The following is a 15,004-nucleotide window of genomic DNA, read 5'->3' as shown; positions in this document are numbered from 1 at the left end:
TGTGGAGGAGCCCACAGATTTTTTTCTTTTCACATTATCTTGAAATGTTTCATCCAAGCTTTTTTTTTTTCATTCCATGTCTGGTTCCCTGGTGAGCTTTGGAGTTGGTTTCTGCCATGATCATTGCCACCTGACCATGAGGAGGGTGGCTTGCCTGAGAACATCACATTAGCCAGAATGAGCAGCTCCTTTTGTTTTGTTTTGTTTTGCTGTTGGCTCTTTAAAGCCAGGCAGAACATCAGACCATGTCCACTGTGACATTTTCCAAGGTTCACCGTTGTGGAATGATTAATGGTCGTTGGTGAAGTAACCATCAGCTTCATTGTCTTCTATGGCTTCAACTCAAATGAAATGTATCCCTTTGAGTTAACTTTAGTTTTGATTTTAAGGGTTCTTTTTATCCAGAAAATCAGAGTATAAAAAATGTATTTTTAAACAAGAAAGATTTACATAAAAATCCTGTAAGTAAGAGTTTTTGTACGGACCAAACGTCATTGATCTGGAGAAAATATTTAATAGTTTCTCAAAATATCTGACATATTTAGACATCAGTAGTAGAAAAGCTTTAATTAAACAAAAATAAGTCCTCCTTTTGATTTAAAAAGCAAAGTCTATTTTTACTTTTTAAACAATTTGAATGCAAAATTAGATAAACTGAGTTTTGGAGTTGATTAAATAAGATATTTCCCAGAAATGGTACTTTATAAAATCTATGCCTCATGGAAGAAGTTTGATCTTTTTTATACCTATACGTCCCATTTTGGGCTTCTATTCATTTACTCATTCAGTTAATTCAACAGATATTTATTGGGCACTTACTATGGGTCAGCTACTCTTATTAAACACGTATGATATAGCGGGGAAGAAGAGGGATGAATATACTTGCCTTTATGGAAATTCCAAACTATTTTGGGGGTATTTACAGCTTGTTATCTACTATTTGGAGTAGTTATAATGAAACATTGTACAATAATGACCTGAAAAAAATAAGGATTCTTTACATGGATTTTATGCCTGCTGACTTGGTATAAAAGGAATCCTAAATCTTAAAACAAAATTTCATTTAAATGGACAATTTTTATTTGAATTTGAGTTGAAATATTAAAAACAATAATGTCAATAGTTTCCAACAGAAATCATGAATCATCCTCATTTCTGAACCCTGGAAAACCTTACAGTGGACAGAGTCTGAAATTTCTCCTAGGTTTTCTTTATACTTTTAAGTTGTTTTATCCTATTGCTTTGTTTTCTTTGTAATAGAGCCTGAGAAAAAGGGTAACACTGAAAATTACACAATGGAAATGGAGTCGTCTCTGCTATATTGCACAATTGGCAAGAAAATCTTAAGTTTTCTTTGTCTAGTATACATTAAGAACTAATTTTTTGTTTCTATGATTGTACTATGTAATTTCCTAAAGAAACAAATAAATAAAATGCTTAGGGTTCATTTCCACCTCAAATATTAAAGTAGATATACCTAAGTATCTATGCAGTACAAGTAGCATTAATACAGTATAACATATAATGATTTTCATTAATTGTTTCATTTTTATTAATATTTAATACATGTCCCAAGTGCTTGAGGCTATCAGAGACTAATAGTAAGACATGGCATCTGCCTATAATGGTATTCACAGTCCAGTTAGAGACAAAAGAGCTCCATATGAAAATTAAATCATTTATATTAGGCAATATGTAATTTAGCTTAATGGGAAGTCTAGGGTGGACCACTACAGTAAGCCTAGTCTTGCATCAAGTGAACTTACCTTCTAGAAGAAGTTTTAAGTGGCCTTCCTGGGAATCCATCTTTCCTTTTAAGTCTGGGCAAAAATGGTTAGCAGGCTTTCTTTTTGTCCTTGGACACCTAAGGGTAGAATAGTCTCTGCGCTAGCTGTTGCAGTGGCTCAGCAAGAGAGGGGAGGAAAAGGGAATGGAGCACACATTTTACCCATTTATTATTCACTAGCTATCACCTTGGGAAGCAAAAAGTGCACCTGAGAATAGAATATATGGACACAGTATGGATATATTTTAGTTTCTTGAGAATAAAAATTATTCAAGACTGAGCACAGTAGCTCACACGTGTAATCCTAGTGCTTTGGGAGGCTGAGTTGAGAAGATTGCCTGAGGCCTGGAGTACGAGACCAGTCTGGCAACATAGCGAGACCCCTGTCTCTGCACAAAAAAGATTAGCTATAGGTGGTGGTGCACACCTGTGGTCCCAGCTAGCTTCTTGAGGGGCTGAGGCAGAAGGATGGCTTGAGCCCAAGAGGTCAAGGCTGCAGTGAGCTATGATTGAGCCACTGCACTCAAGCCTGGGTGACAGAGTGAGAAGCTGTTTAAAAAAATTATTTCATAGCTTTGAGAAGCCTGATACATCAATATGGGCCCCATGGACAAGGGAAGTTCCTAAAAAAATGGAAGAATCACTGGAAGGGGAATAAAACGTGGGTTGGAGGCTTTTGACAGTTACTGAAGACGCTTTCTTCCTCGGTTTTCCCTAGAGCAGCCCTGCCTACAAGATGGGTGTCCTCCAGACCTAATATAACAAATTTAGGAAGTTTGCATATATTGCTATGATTTATAGATATAATCTCTCTAAATTGTTTTGCTTTGGAATTAGCTGAAGTTCCTGATGTGTGTGTGTGTGTTTAAATTCTCAAATGAAATATTATGTGACTGTGGCTTTTGTTTTCATTTTCTTGGATATTTGAAAATAGTAAGAATCTCTGTTTTTATAGTACAGGTGTTTGTTCATTTGGAGCTAAATCTAAGATAGGATAATACAACGTATGCTTATCTCTTATATTTAAATTAGGGGAAAAAGGCTGGGCGTGGTGGCTCATGCCTGTAATCCCAGCACTTTGGGAGGCCAAGGCTTGCGGATCACCTGAGGTCAGGAGTTCGAGACCAGTCCGGCCAACATGGTGAAACCGCATCTCTACTAAAAATACAAAAACTAGCTGAGCGTGATGGTGCGTGCCTGTAATACCAGCTACTTGGGAGGCTGAGGCAGGGGAATTGCTTGAACCCAGGAGGCAGAGGTTGCAGTGAGCCAAGATCGTGCCACTAGACTCCAGCCTGGGAGACAGAGCGAAATGCCGTCTCAAAAAAATAAATAAATAAATAAATTAGGGGAAAAAAAACCCAAAGTCTCAATGTTTATCTGTTAATAACAGTATTCGGATACTTATGTGGATACTTCTTTTAAAAAAAAAAAAAAGATTATCTGTATGAAAAGTTTCTTTTCCTGAAAACGATTTCTCCTAGAACCATCAATCTATATGATTCAAAAAGCCACCAAAGGTGTTAATTTTGTTAATTATCTAGAAAGTTGTGATGGTTTTGAGGGTGTATACATATGTCACAGCTTATTAAATTGTACATTTTAAATATATGCACTTACTATATATCAATAAAACTTTTAAAAAAGCCAACCAGATTGTAAGGTATATTTTCAGGATAAAATACTTATTATCTTTGGGAGGTCGAGGCAGGCAGATCACCTGAGGTCAGGAGTTCAAGACCAGGCTGGCCAACATGGTGAAACCCCGTCTCTACTAAAAATACAAAAAATTAGCCAGATGTGGTGGCGGGCACCTGTAATCCCAGCTACTTGGGAGGCTGAGGCAGGAGAATTGCTTGAACCCAGGAGGCGGAGGTTGCAGTGAGCCGAGACTGTGCCACTGTGCTCTAGCCTGGGCCACTGACTGAAACTCCGTCTCAGGGAAAAAAAAAAAAAAAAAAAAAAAAAAAAATATATATATATATATATATATATATATATATATTTTTATATTATATATTATATAATATACGATTATATATAATATATATTTTATATATTATATAATATACGATTATATATAATATATATTTTATGTATTATATAATATACGATTATATATAATATATATTTTATATATTATATATACAATTGTATATTATATATATACACACACACATTTCTTATAATAGGTATTTTCCTTTTTTTGAAATGGAGTTTCGCTCTTGTTGCCCAGACTGGAGTACAATGGCGCGATCTTGGCTCACTGCAACCTCCGCCTCCTGGGTTCAAACGGTTCTTCTGCCTCAGCCTCCCGAGTAGCTGGGTTTACAGACACCCACCACCACTCCCGGCTAATTTTTTGTATTTTTAGTAGACACGGGGTTTCACCATGTTGGCCAGGCTAGTCTCGAACTCCTGGCCTCAGCCTCCCAAAGTGCTGGGATTACAGGCGTGAGCCACCATGCCCGGCCAAGAATTATATTTTTAAAGTTTGTTATTTATGTTTTATTTCTTTATTTCATCCACCCTTTATTCACCTATATCTCATACCCCAGAAACACATATTTCAAGTAAGAAAGATAAATAGAATTAAGGAGGGCTTTGTGCCCGTTGAAATTTAGATATAGGACCTTAGAGAGCTTTTTTACCATATGTAAGACTCACTGGAGTATCTTTAAGTAATTTGCCCAAATTTGAATTTGGAGAATTGGAGTTGTGTATTCTTCAAGGAATCCTTTTCTTATAGTTTAACAGATTGTGACTTATCTTTGGCAAGGAGTAAAGAGCATGATTTTAGCGAGTCTTTTTCCTCCTCTTTTCTTTCTTTCTTTTTTTTTTGGAAGAGGTTAAATGGCTTAATGCTTTTTAAATATTCCTTTTTCTCCCCTGCATGTTATACATTAAATTTTGGCATGTTGGGCCATAGACTCTATGAATAGATTTGTTTAGGGAAGAACCAGGTTTGTTCAATTATTCTTGCCTGTATGGTCTTCAGCACAGTACAGATACCTTAATATAAGTTTGTTAATTGGTGGTTTAATGTTAATCAAACATTCCTTATGTTGCCCAGTATATATATCAGGCAAATTTCTGTATGTATAATATCAGGAATTTTTTTTTTTTTTTGAGGTAAGGTCTTGCTCTGTTGCCCAGGCTGGAATGCAGTGGTGTGGTCACTGCCTACTGCAGACTCAACCTCCCAGGCTCAAGCAATCCTCCCACCTCAGCCTCTCCAGTAGCTGGGACTACAAGGTGTGCACCATCACTCTTGGATAATTTTTATTTTATTTTATTTTTTGAGACGAAATTTCATTCTTGTTGCCCAGGCTGGAGTGCAATGGCACAATCTCAGCTCACTGCAACCTCCACCTCCCAGGTTCAAGCGATTCTCCTGCCTCAGCCTCCTGAGTAGCTGGGATTACAGGCACCCACCACCACACCCGGCTAATGTTTTTGTATTTTTAGTAGAGATAGGGTTTCACCATGTTGGCCAGATGATCTCGAACTCTTGACCTTCAGGTGATCCACCTGCCTCAGCCTCCCAAAGTGCTAGGATTACAGGCGTGAACCACCACGCCTGACCAATTTTTAACTTTTTCTTGTAGAGATGGAGTCTCACCAGGTTGTTTAAGCTTTTCTTGAACTCCTGGCCTCAAGCAATCCTCTTGCCTCAGCCTCCCGGAGTGCTGGGATTACAGGTGTGAGCCACAGTGCTGGGCTGAAGCTTCTTTATTGTTGGAATTAATGCCTATGTTAAATTTAGAACATTGGCAAATTTTCATGAATTAAAAAAATAGTCTATAAAAATGATCAGAATTGTGTTTCTGGGGTTGGGGCTACCAGGGCATTAATGAGTGATTTGAAAGCTCTAGCTCTTTTTACAACACTAGCAGGACACATTGGAATCACCTATGTCCAGGCCACAACCCAGAGGTGAGGCCCTGGGTTATTGTAATGTGTAGCCACACTGTGCTCTATGATGCTGTCTCTCATACCGTATTCCCCCATACCCAAGCTTTCTATCATAAAACTTTTCAGACATGTAGAAAACCTAACAGAATAAGTCAACAAACACCCATATTCTCTCTACCCAGATTCAGTAGTTATTAACCTTTTGCTGTATTGGCTTTATGAGTCTGTCCCTCTTTCTCTGTATGAGTACTTTTTTCCTGTACCATGTGAAAGTAAGTTTCAGACATCATGAGTCCTTACCATTAAATACTTCAGAATATATGTTCTGAGAATAAGGACATTTTCTACATAACCACAATGCCATTATCATCCCTAGGAAAATTGGTAATAACTTGGAATGCTTTTCAAAAATTCAGTTCATTAAAGACATATGAATTTATATCCTACTAAAAATTAAATGCATATAAAGTGAGAAGTTTCACAGAATATGGAATTCTGGAAATTTTCTGGTAAAGATATGCATTTCTTCTCTGTGTTTACAAGTGAGGCCACTACTTCAAACATTTTTATGAGGTAAACACATTTTCTATGTTTAGTGAGGTAAAATCTTTTCTAGCTCTCCCAACTCATGATCATAGCAATGAGAAGAAAGAAACATTTCTCAAAGTTCATGCCACAATGTGGTTTAGTGGAAGAAGTTCAGTCTTGAGTCAGAAGGAACAGTGTTGGTTCAAATAGTTGCTCTGCCTGTTCACTGGAGGTGACCTTGCAGAAGTGAAGTTCTTTTATCAGTTAAGATGCTTTTAGAAACTGCCCTCAAGCTCACTGGAATCATCAGGAAATGTATTCTTTCACACAAAAAAATTCAGAGGCAGGGCAGGCTTCAGGGTTGGTCAGTTCTGGAGCTCAGGTTCTGAGTGTCCTTCTGCCTTGCCAGGCTCCTTGTTGGCTCTGACTTTGTTTCACCTCCTTCCTCCAGCTGGTTTATAGCCATATATCACCATATTCAGAAGTCAGAAACCTCTCCACAGGGATGGACCGTCAGTTTTCCTGTCTGATTGGGCATCTCTGCCCACTTCTGGATCAGTAACTGTCTTCAGAGAGCGTTCTGCCCTGGATGGCTTGGACTAACCTGTAACCCTACCCCTAAAGCCAGGATGGCGTTCACTTAGGGAGAGGAAGGGAGGAATGGATGTTGGGTATGTCTCTAAGACTTCATTTTCTTTGCTGTAAAATGGGAACAATAATATCTACCTCTATGCTTATTACTGACATAAAATAAGTAAAACAACAAACACAAAGCTGATATTTAATAAATGTTAATTCCTGTTCTTTCTTCTCTCCTTTCAATCTTATATAAAATCCTATCTTCCACTGATGCTGCCACCCTCCATACTGGTAAGCATTTGTTTTTTTTTGTTTTTTTTTTTTTTGAGACGGAGTCTCACTCGTCGCCCAGGCTGGAGTGCAGTGGCGCCATCTCGGCTCACTGCAAGCTCTGCCTCCCAGGTTCATGCCATTCTCCTGCCTCAGCCTCCCGAGTAGGTGGGACTACAGGCGCCCACCACCAAGCCCAGCTAATTTTTTGTATTTTTAGTAGAGACGGGGTTTCACCGTGTTAGCCAGGATGGTCTCAATCTCCTGACCTTGTGATCCGCCCGCTTTGGCCTCCCAAAGTGCTGGGATTACAGGCGTGAGCCACCGCGCCTGGCCGCTGGTAAGCATTTGTAAGTGACTCTCCCTTGGCTGGTCTCCTACCTGACCTCTCACCTCACTATCTAGGGCATAGCATTTTATGTGAGCTTTGCAAATTGGTCAGACCTTCCATTAACCTATCTTGCCCATCTTATTTTTTTCTTATATATTTCTTTTAAAATTTTTCTGTAATATATCCCTAGAAACATCTTACATAATTTCAACTTCACTTGATATTTTTCCAAAACCGAGGAAGGGAAATTGTTAACAATGTGTACAAGGCCAGGCATGGCAGCATGCACCTGTAGTCCCAGCTACTCTAGAGGCCAAGGCAGGAGGATCACTTGAACCCAGGAGTGTGACATCAACATGGGCAACATAGCAAGACCCCATATTTTAAAAATAACACTGAAAAAACAGTGTGTTGTACATATTTATCAAATGTGAAAAAAAAATCTCTTCAGCTTTGCTGTCCATAAACACAGAGTTGAAATAGATTTCCCCCTTTATGAAAAGAAAACCATGATGACCCATGAAAAGGTAAGCAAAATAAAATGCTGTTTGAAATATAGTAACTTGTTTGTCCAGGATAGACCAGGTCTTTGATATTTTAGGAAAATCTAGACTCACCACAGTAGTGTAGCTGCTCCAGTTTCACAGAATTTCCTTTAGAAAAAAAATCGTGTCTAATTCCAGCCTGGCCAAGATGGTTAAAACCTCGTCTTTACTAAAAATACAAAAATTAGCCAGGCATGGTGGCGGGTGCCTGTAATCTCAGCTACTCGGGAGGCTGAGGCAGAAGAATCACTTGAACCCGGGAGGTGGAGGTTGCGGTGAGCCGAGATCACGCCACTGCACACTTGCCTGGGTGATAGAGCAAGACTCTGTCTCAAAAAAAAAAAAAATTGTGTCTAATTTACCAATAAATCTCTTTTGGATTCTTTGGTCTTGAACCCTCTCATACCTACTGCAAGAGAGAGTCATCTTCCAAAGACATGTTTTCCAATACTCTATGCAGGAACAATGGAAGGTCTTTGTTCAGGCATGCCCTTTTCAAAATAGAGAGAGAAGGACTGTCATATTTTTCTCGCTATGGTATTTCTAAAGCACTTCTGAAACACCTGTGACTTCCTGCAAAATTGCCACAACCCAATTACATGGGATGTTCTTCCCTTTTAAATTTTCTTCCAAAATGACAGGATCACTCTTGAATGAAAGTTATTGATGCCTGTTGACCCCTGTAAGTAGAACGTTTAACTCTGCCATCCTCCATGGCAAGAGAATGGAAGAAGGGTGAAAAGTCTGGTCTCTCTCTTGACTTGGAAGATGCTGAACCCTGGCCTGTTCCTTTCTGTTACTTTTTTTCAGTGTCTTTAATTTTTAGATTTAGTGTTGAAGTAGCTATTGATCTGTTAGGCTCTGTGAATACTGAAAATACTCAGATTTTGGATGGTTCGATCCATAATTCAGAGCTTCTGCTGGCATGAATCTTTTCAGCCAGAGAGATGTTTTTTAAAGGAACTCTTTAAGTGTGTGTTGATGATTCTAACACATTTCAAATTAGGTTCTATAATTGTAATGCTGCACAATGAAAGCAAAACTCTGAGATAAATTATAATTTTATTAAAGAAGCCAGAGAATGGGACATTGTGGCTATAATTTTGTTTAAAAGTGCTGAGTTTTGAGAATATAAAAATTTGAAATTCATATTGCATTCCTTGAAGTGCTATTGGTTATTTTTAAGAAGGATGAAATATGATTATAACTTATGAAGCTTGGTTTCATTTGAGCACATTTTAAATGTTAGTGCCTTGCAGAAAAGTTTTGTGGACAAGATTCCCTTTGCTGTGTAACAAATGCTTTTACTGTTTAGCCAAGGTTTGTTACTAATGGCTCAGAGGCTGAAATGAAAAGTGAAATGTCTGTTGTTTCCCATCTAATAGCTTGATTTTATTTTTATTTCCACTACCCAGTGCTAAAAAAAGAAAGCCAAGATCAAGATCCAAAAGCTCAAACAAACTAACATTTAATTTCCCAACTAGAGTTAAGACTGACCTTGCCGTGATGTGTAAGTCTTGTATGGGAAACGTTTATTCATGGCTGTGCAGTTGACCATACTCATTGCTGGATCAGGGTGTATTCTTGTCTTCAGACAATCAAGCAGGTAAAAACCAGTCGAGACTAAGCAGTTGGACTGACTCAATTTCTCTTTTTCGTCTCTGTTGAGAAATGTTTTAACTGTGTTTCTTGCCCCTACTTCTTGGTCTACCTGAGAGAATGGAACAAAAGTCTAATTCAGTGGATTGGAAAGCAACGAAGAGTCCAGAGTGTATTATCTGCCACTTATTACTGAAGGTTTATACTCCAATGATAGAGCAATCACTAGCGCTTTGTCTTTGTGTTTGCTTCTTTCTTGATTCTGTCATTCCTGTGTACTCTCTTGGAGCTTCTCATGGGCAAGATCTACAACTTCAAGTTGTGTGCGATGGATTTTAAGGGCAAACTGCCATAGTTCCAGGTCATTTATTGTTTTCATTTTTCTCGAGGAATTCTTATTCTGACTGAAAACTGCAGGATGACCAGTGAAAAATTGTTGACCAGCTAAGGAAAATGTATTTACAATAGTTTTTAAAAACTATTTGGAAAAGAGATTATATTTGGAGAAAATTTGTCTGTACTTTGGCTAAGTCCCTAGACATAAGCTTTATTGTGTACCAGGTCATGGATCCATCTTTTCTACCTTAGCATGAAATCCATGTGGTACAAAGACACTCATGTCTTCTCAGCACTGTTGTGTTCCACTACCACTAATTTGACGTTATCACTAGTGTAGTGATTACTGAATGGTAAGTACACTAGATTGACATGGGTCATGAAGATTTGGTTTTATTTTTTGCAGTACTTATGCATCTTAAGAACAATATGATAAAAATGGAAACTTCTTCCACGCGGGCTAATTTAGGGTTATTAATAGAGTTATACAGGCATTTGACCACTCGTTTTTCTGTTTTGATCTTACATGATGATTGGACAGGGAGATGGACAAAGAAGCATTGCATAGAAGAGATCACTTTCATGATGGAGGAGAGGTGCTTGTTACCACTACCTTTTGTTTGTCTGTGCAATCTACAAATCAGTTCATATGGCCTCTGACAGCTGTTCTGGTGACCTAGGTTCACGTATTTTGGAGAAACTGTGACTTTTATTACTGAATAATTATGTGAATGAGGAGTTTTTTTAAAATGGATTTCCCATTTCCTAAAATAGAGGCCTTTTCTTTAAGATTCTTTTGCTTCACTTTATGTTAGTTATTCATACACTTATTGACATTGTTGGTGTGAGAATTACTCTTTTACATTGTTCTTCAGTTCAAGTTGTTGACATTCCAGCTAGCAGTATCCCTACCTCTCACCTTAGGAATACAAAATGAGATGCAGTATGGAATACTTAAATCTTAACTTTTGAATGCTAGATGCAGGTATCAGTGTAAACTTATTACACCATTATATGATGAGGGAAAAAAATAGGCATTTTTAATGACTAGGAAAAAGTTCTTGACAAAGAAAAGTTCTGTTTTGTTTAGTCAGTTACTGAAATGGAACTGAGTCTTTTTTTTTTTTTTTTTTTTTTTTTTGAGTTGGAGTTTCACTCTTGTTGCCCAGGCTGGAGTGCAATGGCCCTATCTCGGATCACTGCAACCTCCATCTCCCGGGTTCAAGCGATTCTCCTGCCACAGCCTCCCAAGTAGCTGGGATTACAGGCATGCACCACCACGCCTGGCTAATTTTATATTTTTAGTAGGGACGGGGTTTCTCCATGTTGGTCAGGCTGGTCTCAAACTCCTGACCTCAGGTGATCCACCCGCTTTTTATTAGGTGTGTCTTTGAAGCTAAAGTGATTCAGTGCTTACAGTCACCTATCAGCGTTCATGTAGTGAGTTCTTGGAACCCTTTGTGCTCCTGGAGAGGCAGTTTATGTAGCAAATGTATAGTAAGCAAGTGTACTATGACTTTTCTAACTATCACACCATTGAGCACATGATGCTTTGATGTACTGGAGTGCAACAAGCAGTTTCGCCATGGGGTGTCAAGTGGGAACTCGGGCCCTTGGTCAACCCAGTTATAAATGTCTATTCTTCACATGTCCTCCTATTTTCTTTGTGTGCGTTTATAATTGCTTTCAGTGATCCTGTCAATTTGACAAACAGAAAAGGTTAGAAAAGTAAAGTCGAAATAGCCAGTTTTAGAATTTTAAGTAAAAGTTGGATAGGGGCAAATATTAAGAATAAGGGTTCCTGTCAATTCAGTTTCTCTTACTATTCCTCTTACTGATTGCCTTGACTGACAAGTTGACTGCTTTACTTTATGTGAGGTTTTATTCTTTTAAAGATAGAGTTCATGAACTTTGTACTGGCTCCAAACGTGTGAAGCTCTGCTCTAATCATTGCTTTGTTCAGTCGATAAAATTCCTGCTCATTTGAAGCATTCCTAACTGAGACTATTAATGCTCCTGCCTGCCGCCTTTTTGCTATCATTGTTTCACATCATCATTGATTCGTGTATTCAGGTGTCTTTCACCACATAAAGGAATGAAGCTGATGACAGCCATTTTCAAGTATAATCTGAAACTACTTCCACATTTTTCTACAAAGGTGTTTGGCATCTGGATTAGCACTTATGTTGGGGAGGAACCCTGGGATAGATAGCTCTTTAGGTTTCTTGACGTGTTTAGGATATGTGGCTAATGTTACTTGCTGGCACCAACCCTGAAAAAGTTGAACTGGTGTCATACTTTTTATGCTCCTGTTATGTCTAACTATAAAATGAAGGAAGTGCTCATGGCACTTCCCCCTTATTTAGTGAGTTCTCCTCCGCAGCTCTCAGAGGAGATGGCCAGGGTCCGGCTGAATGCGCAGTCCATGTTTCTGTTCTTTTCTAGTTCCTGTAATGTAATGTTGCATAAAACTTTCACTCGTTGTCTTCTTTTTTTCTTATGTCCTCTTAAAAATTGAAAAGTAGTATTTTCTATTATCATCACCATTTCTCATACACTGAGAATAAGGACCATCTTGGCTAAGTGTTTGACCTAGGATTATATGTAATGAACTGCAGAGCCAAAAACAGAACTTGGGATTCTTTCTGGGCTTCATTTTATTCCTGAGCCATAGTTTCTCCTTTCTTCAGCTACACTTAAAACAGGACCAAAGAAACTAATTTCCAGGGACCAAGAATATTTCCCACATCTCTTCCATCTCTTCTTCAGTGTTCCAGTGTTAGGATTTACACGAGATTTATTGTCTGAGGTAAAGTTTCATTGCCAGTTATAAACACGATCCGCTCCCATATTATTCCTGATTTGACTGCTGTCCCAGAAGGTGATGGATAGTTGAAGAAAGATTATAATGAAAGCAGCCCCTATTTTCTTTTTTGCCCTCTAAATTTGATTTAACAGGCTGCTTTCTGCCAGGAAATTTCATGAATGGGCAAATGTTAATAAGCCAGATTTTTTTCCTGTTTATAGTAATAAATGTAACAAAATATCTCCCCAAAGTGGATTCAGTTAGACTATGTTAGTACTTGAGTGAGTACTTCCTGAACTTATAGGAGGAAGCAACTGCAACCACTCTGAAAATGAAGTGGTTCCTATAAAACTTGGTTACTGCAGTCTGAATATATTTCATGCTTTGAAATATTTTGTCCATAGTTCTTTTGTTAGTGAATGTAGAGCTTGAGGAGAGTTCTGTAAAAACTAGAATCAACTGTTTTGCTTTCAAAATGCTTTTTAAAAATCAAACTGAGGATAAAGTTGCCGAATGACAGGTTTTCCCCGCTTTCAGAGTAACAAAAGTGAAAGTTGCATTTTGATCAATTTTGCTTAGTCTTCTTAGTGAAATCGTAAGATCCAAAGTACATGCTGTTGTGCACACACCAAGCAGTTAAGCAGTTTTGTTGTTTTAGTGCCGCTGAACGTGAACTGGTGCATGTCCACACATGCCACGCATAAAGAGTCCATTCTTGCTCACGTGCAGACTGAGAAGCCTGGCCATAGAGGTCTTGGGCTCAGTGGAAATTGGCAGCCTCTCTTCTCCTGTAAACAACAGCCTGACGTCACCCCATGCAGTGGTGATAGCAGACCCACTTCAGAGATTCCCAATTGACAGAGCTGTGGAAGGGCTGGCTTTGATCATCTTCAGTCACGCTTGAGTGAATGCAATGCAGAGAAATTTGTTAATGTCAGAAATACTGGAGTAGCCCTTTAAAACTGTTTTTAAAATACTTATCTGTGAATTTTCACATGTAATCCCAACAACAAATCTGTGTGATCAGCAAGAGAATTGTGGCTATTCCTATGTTAGAAATGTGCCAATTCAAGTCCAGAGAATAAAAAAGTTAGTAAATGGTGGTGGAATGACTGAAATTCAGGCCTTCTAAACCCTGCCTTGTCTCTCTTTCCACTATATTAAATAATTTCTGTAGAATAGTAATTGTTAATTGTTCCATTCTGCTATTTCCTCTCCCATCTAAAATGTGTGGGGTGATGATTTATGAGTTTTCTTTTTTTCCCCAGTCAAGACATCTGTGCATTAACATCAGATACACTCTTTCTGCATTTGGGAACTCCTAGACAATAAGGTAACCCACTCCTCTGCTTCTGAGAGAGCCTTTGAAAAATCTAACATAAGCCTACACTCACAACTTAATTGGAAAGATTTATTAACAAGATGATCCTGTTGCTCATTTGGCTTCTGAAAGCTACATAAAATTGAGAGGATGAATCGTCGTAATTCTTTTGTGTTGTTAACTGGAAGAGACAAAACCAACATGAAAGGACTGCTCTATTAGTTAGAAATCAGAATTTTATTGGGGGAGGAGGAGAAAGTTGAATAGCCACTGGTGAAAATATAACTTATTTGTTATATGAAATAGTTGTCTTTTCTCATGTGCCCACTTCTGGTTTATTTTCAGGCAGTTACAAAAAGTAGAAAAAGAACTATTACCTTCCATGATTTATATAGTTGCATATATGATTTGGGAATACTTCAGGCTGTAGGTAGCTCTTGGTTTTCTGTTTGTGACTAAGTTAGTTTTTCAGGGTGACATTAAGAATAGGCAGGAAGAGTGCTTAGATATCTGTGGATTATCCATAGTGAAGTATGTGGACCTTCTCTGCTGAATGCCCGGAACTTGGAGCAGCTCACCTGGGAGGTGTATGTTTAGGGAATACAAATTTATGTTGATTTTAGTTTACCCTAGACTGAAAATGTATTAACATCCTATACATTAAAGCAAATGTAGTTTTAAAAAATAAACGGCTTTTTAAAATGTACTTTGGCAGATAGCAAGCACTCAAAAAAAAGAGTTTTAAATAAAGCTGTGATAATCAGAAGTTAATTATTTAGCAACCTCAGTAAGCTAGCATCTATACAATAGTTGACTAAAATATACCCAAGAGAAAAAGTACATTTGGGCTGGGCGCGGTGGCTCACGCCTGTAATCCTAGCACTTTGGGGGGCCGAAGCAGGAGGATCACCTGAGGTCAGGAGTTCGACACCAGCCTGGCCAACATGGTGAAACCCCGCTTCTACTAAAAATACAAAAATTAGCTGGG

The 15,004-nt window shown here is 38.3% G+C and overlaps 1 annotated feature.

Moving 5' to 3' along the window:
• Window positions 5,755–5,814: an enhancer, noted in NCBI's record as "active region_15905". NCBI's record gives its function as "activates an Ori minimal core promoter by ATAC-STARR-seq in GM12878 lymphoblastoid cells {active_cell/tissue: GM12878}" and the evidence as "EXISTENCE:reporter gene assay evidence [ECO:0000049][PMID:35858748]".

Source organism: Homo sapiens, chromosome 2 (genome assembly GCF_000001405.40).
Source record: "Homo sapiens chromosome 2, GRCh38.p14 Primary Assembly".
Taxonomy (NCBI): Eukaryota; Metazoa; Chordata; class Mammalia; order Primates; family Hominidae; genus Homo; species Homo sapiens.
Note: the sequence above shows the minus strand (reverse complement) of the source record. Positions and strands in the feature narration are given on the sequence as shown.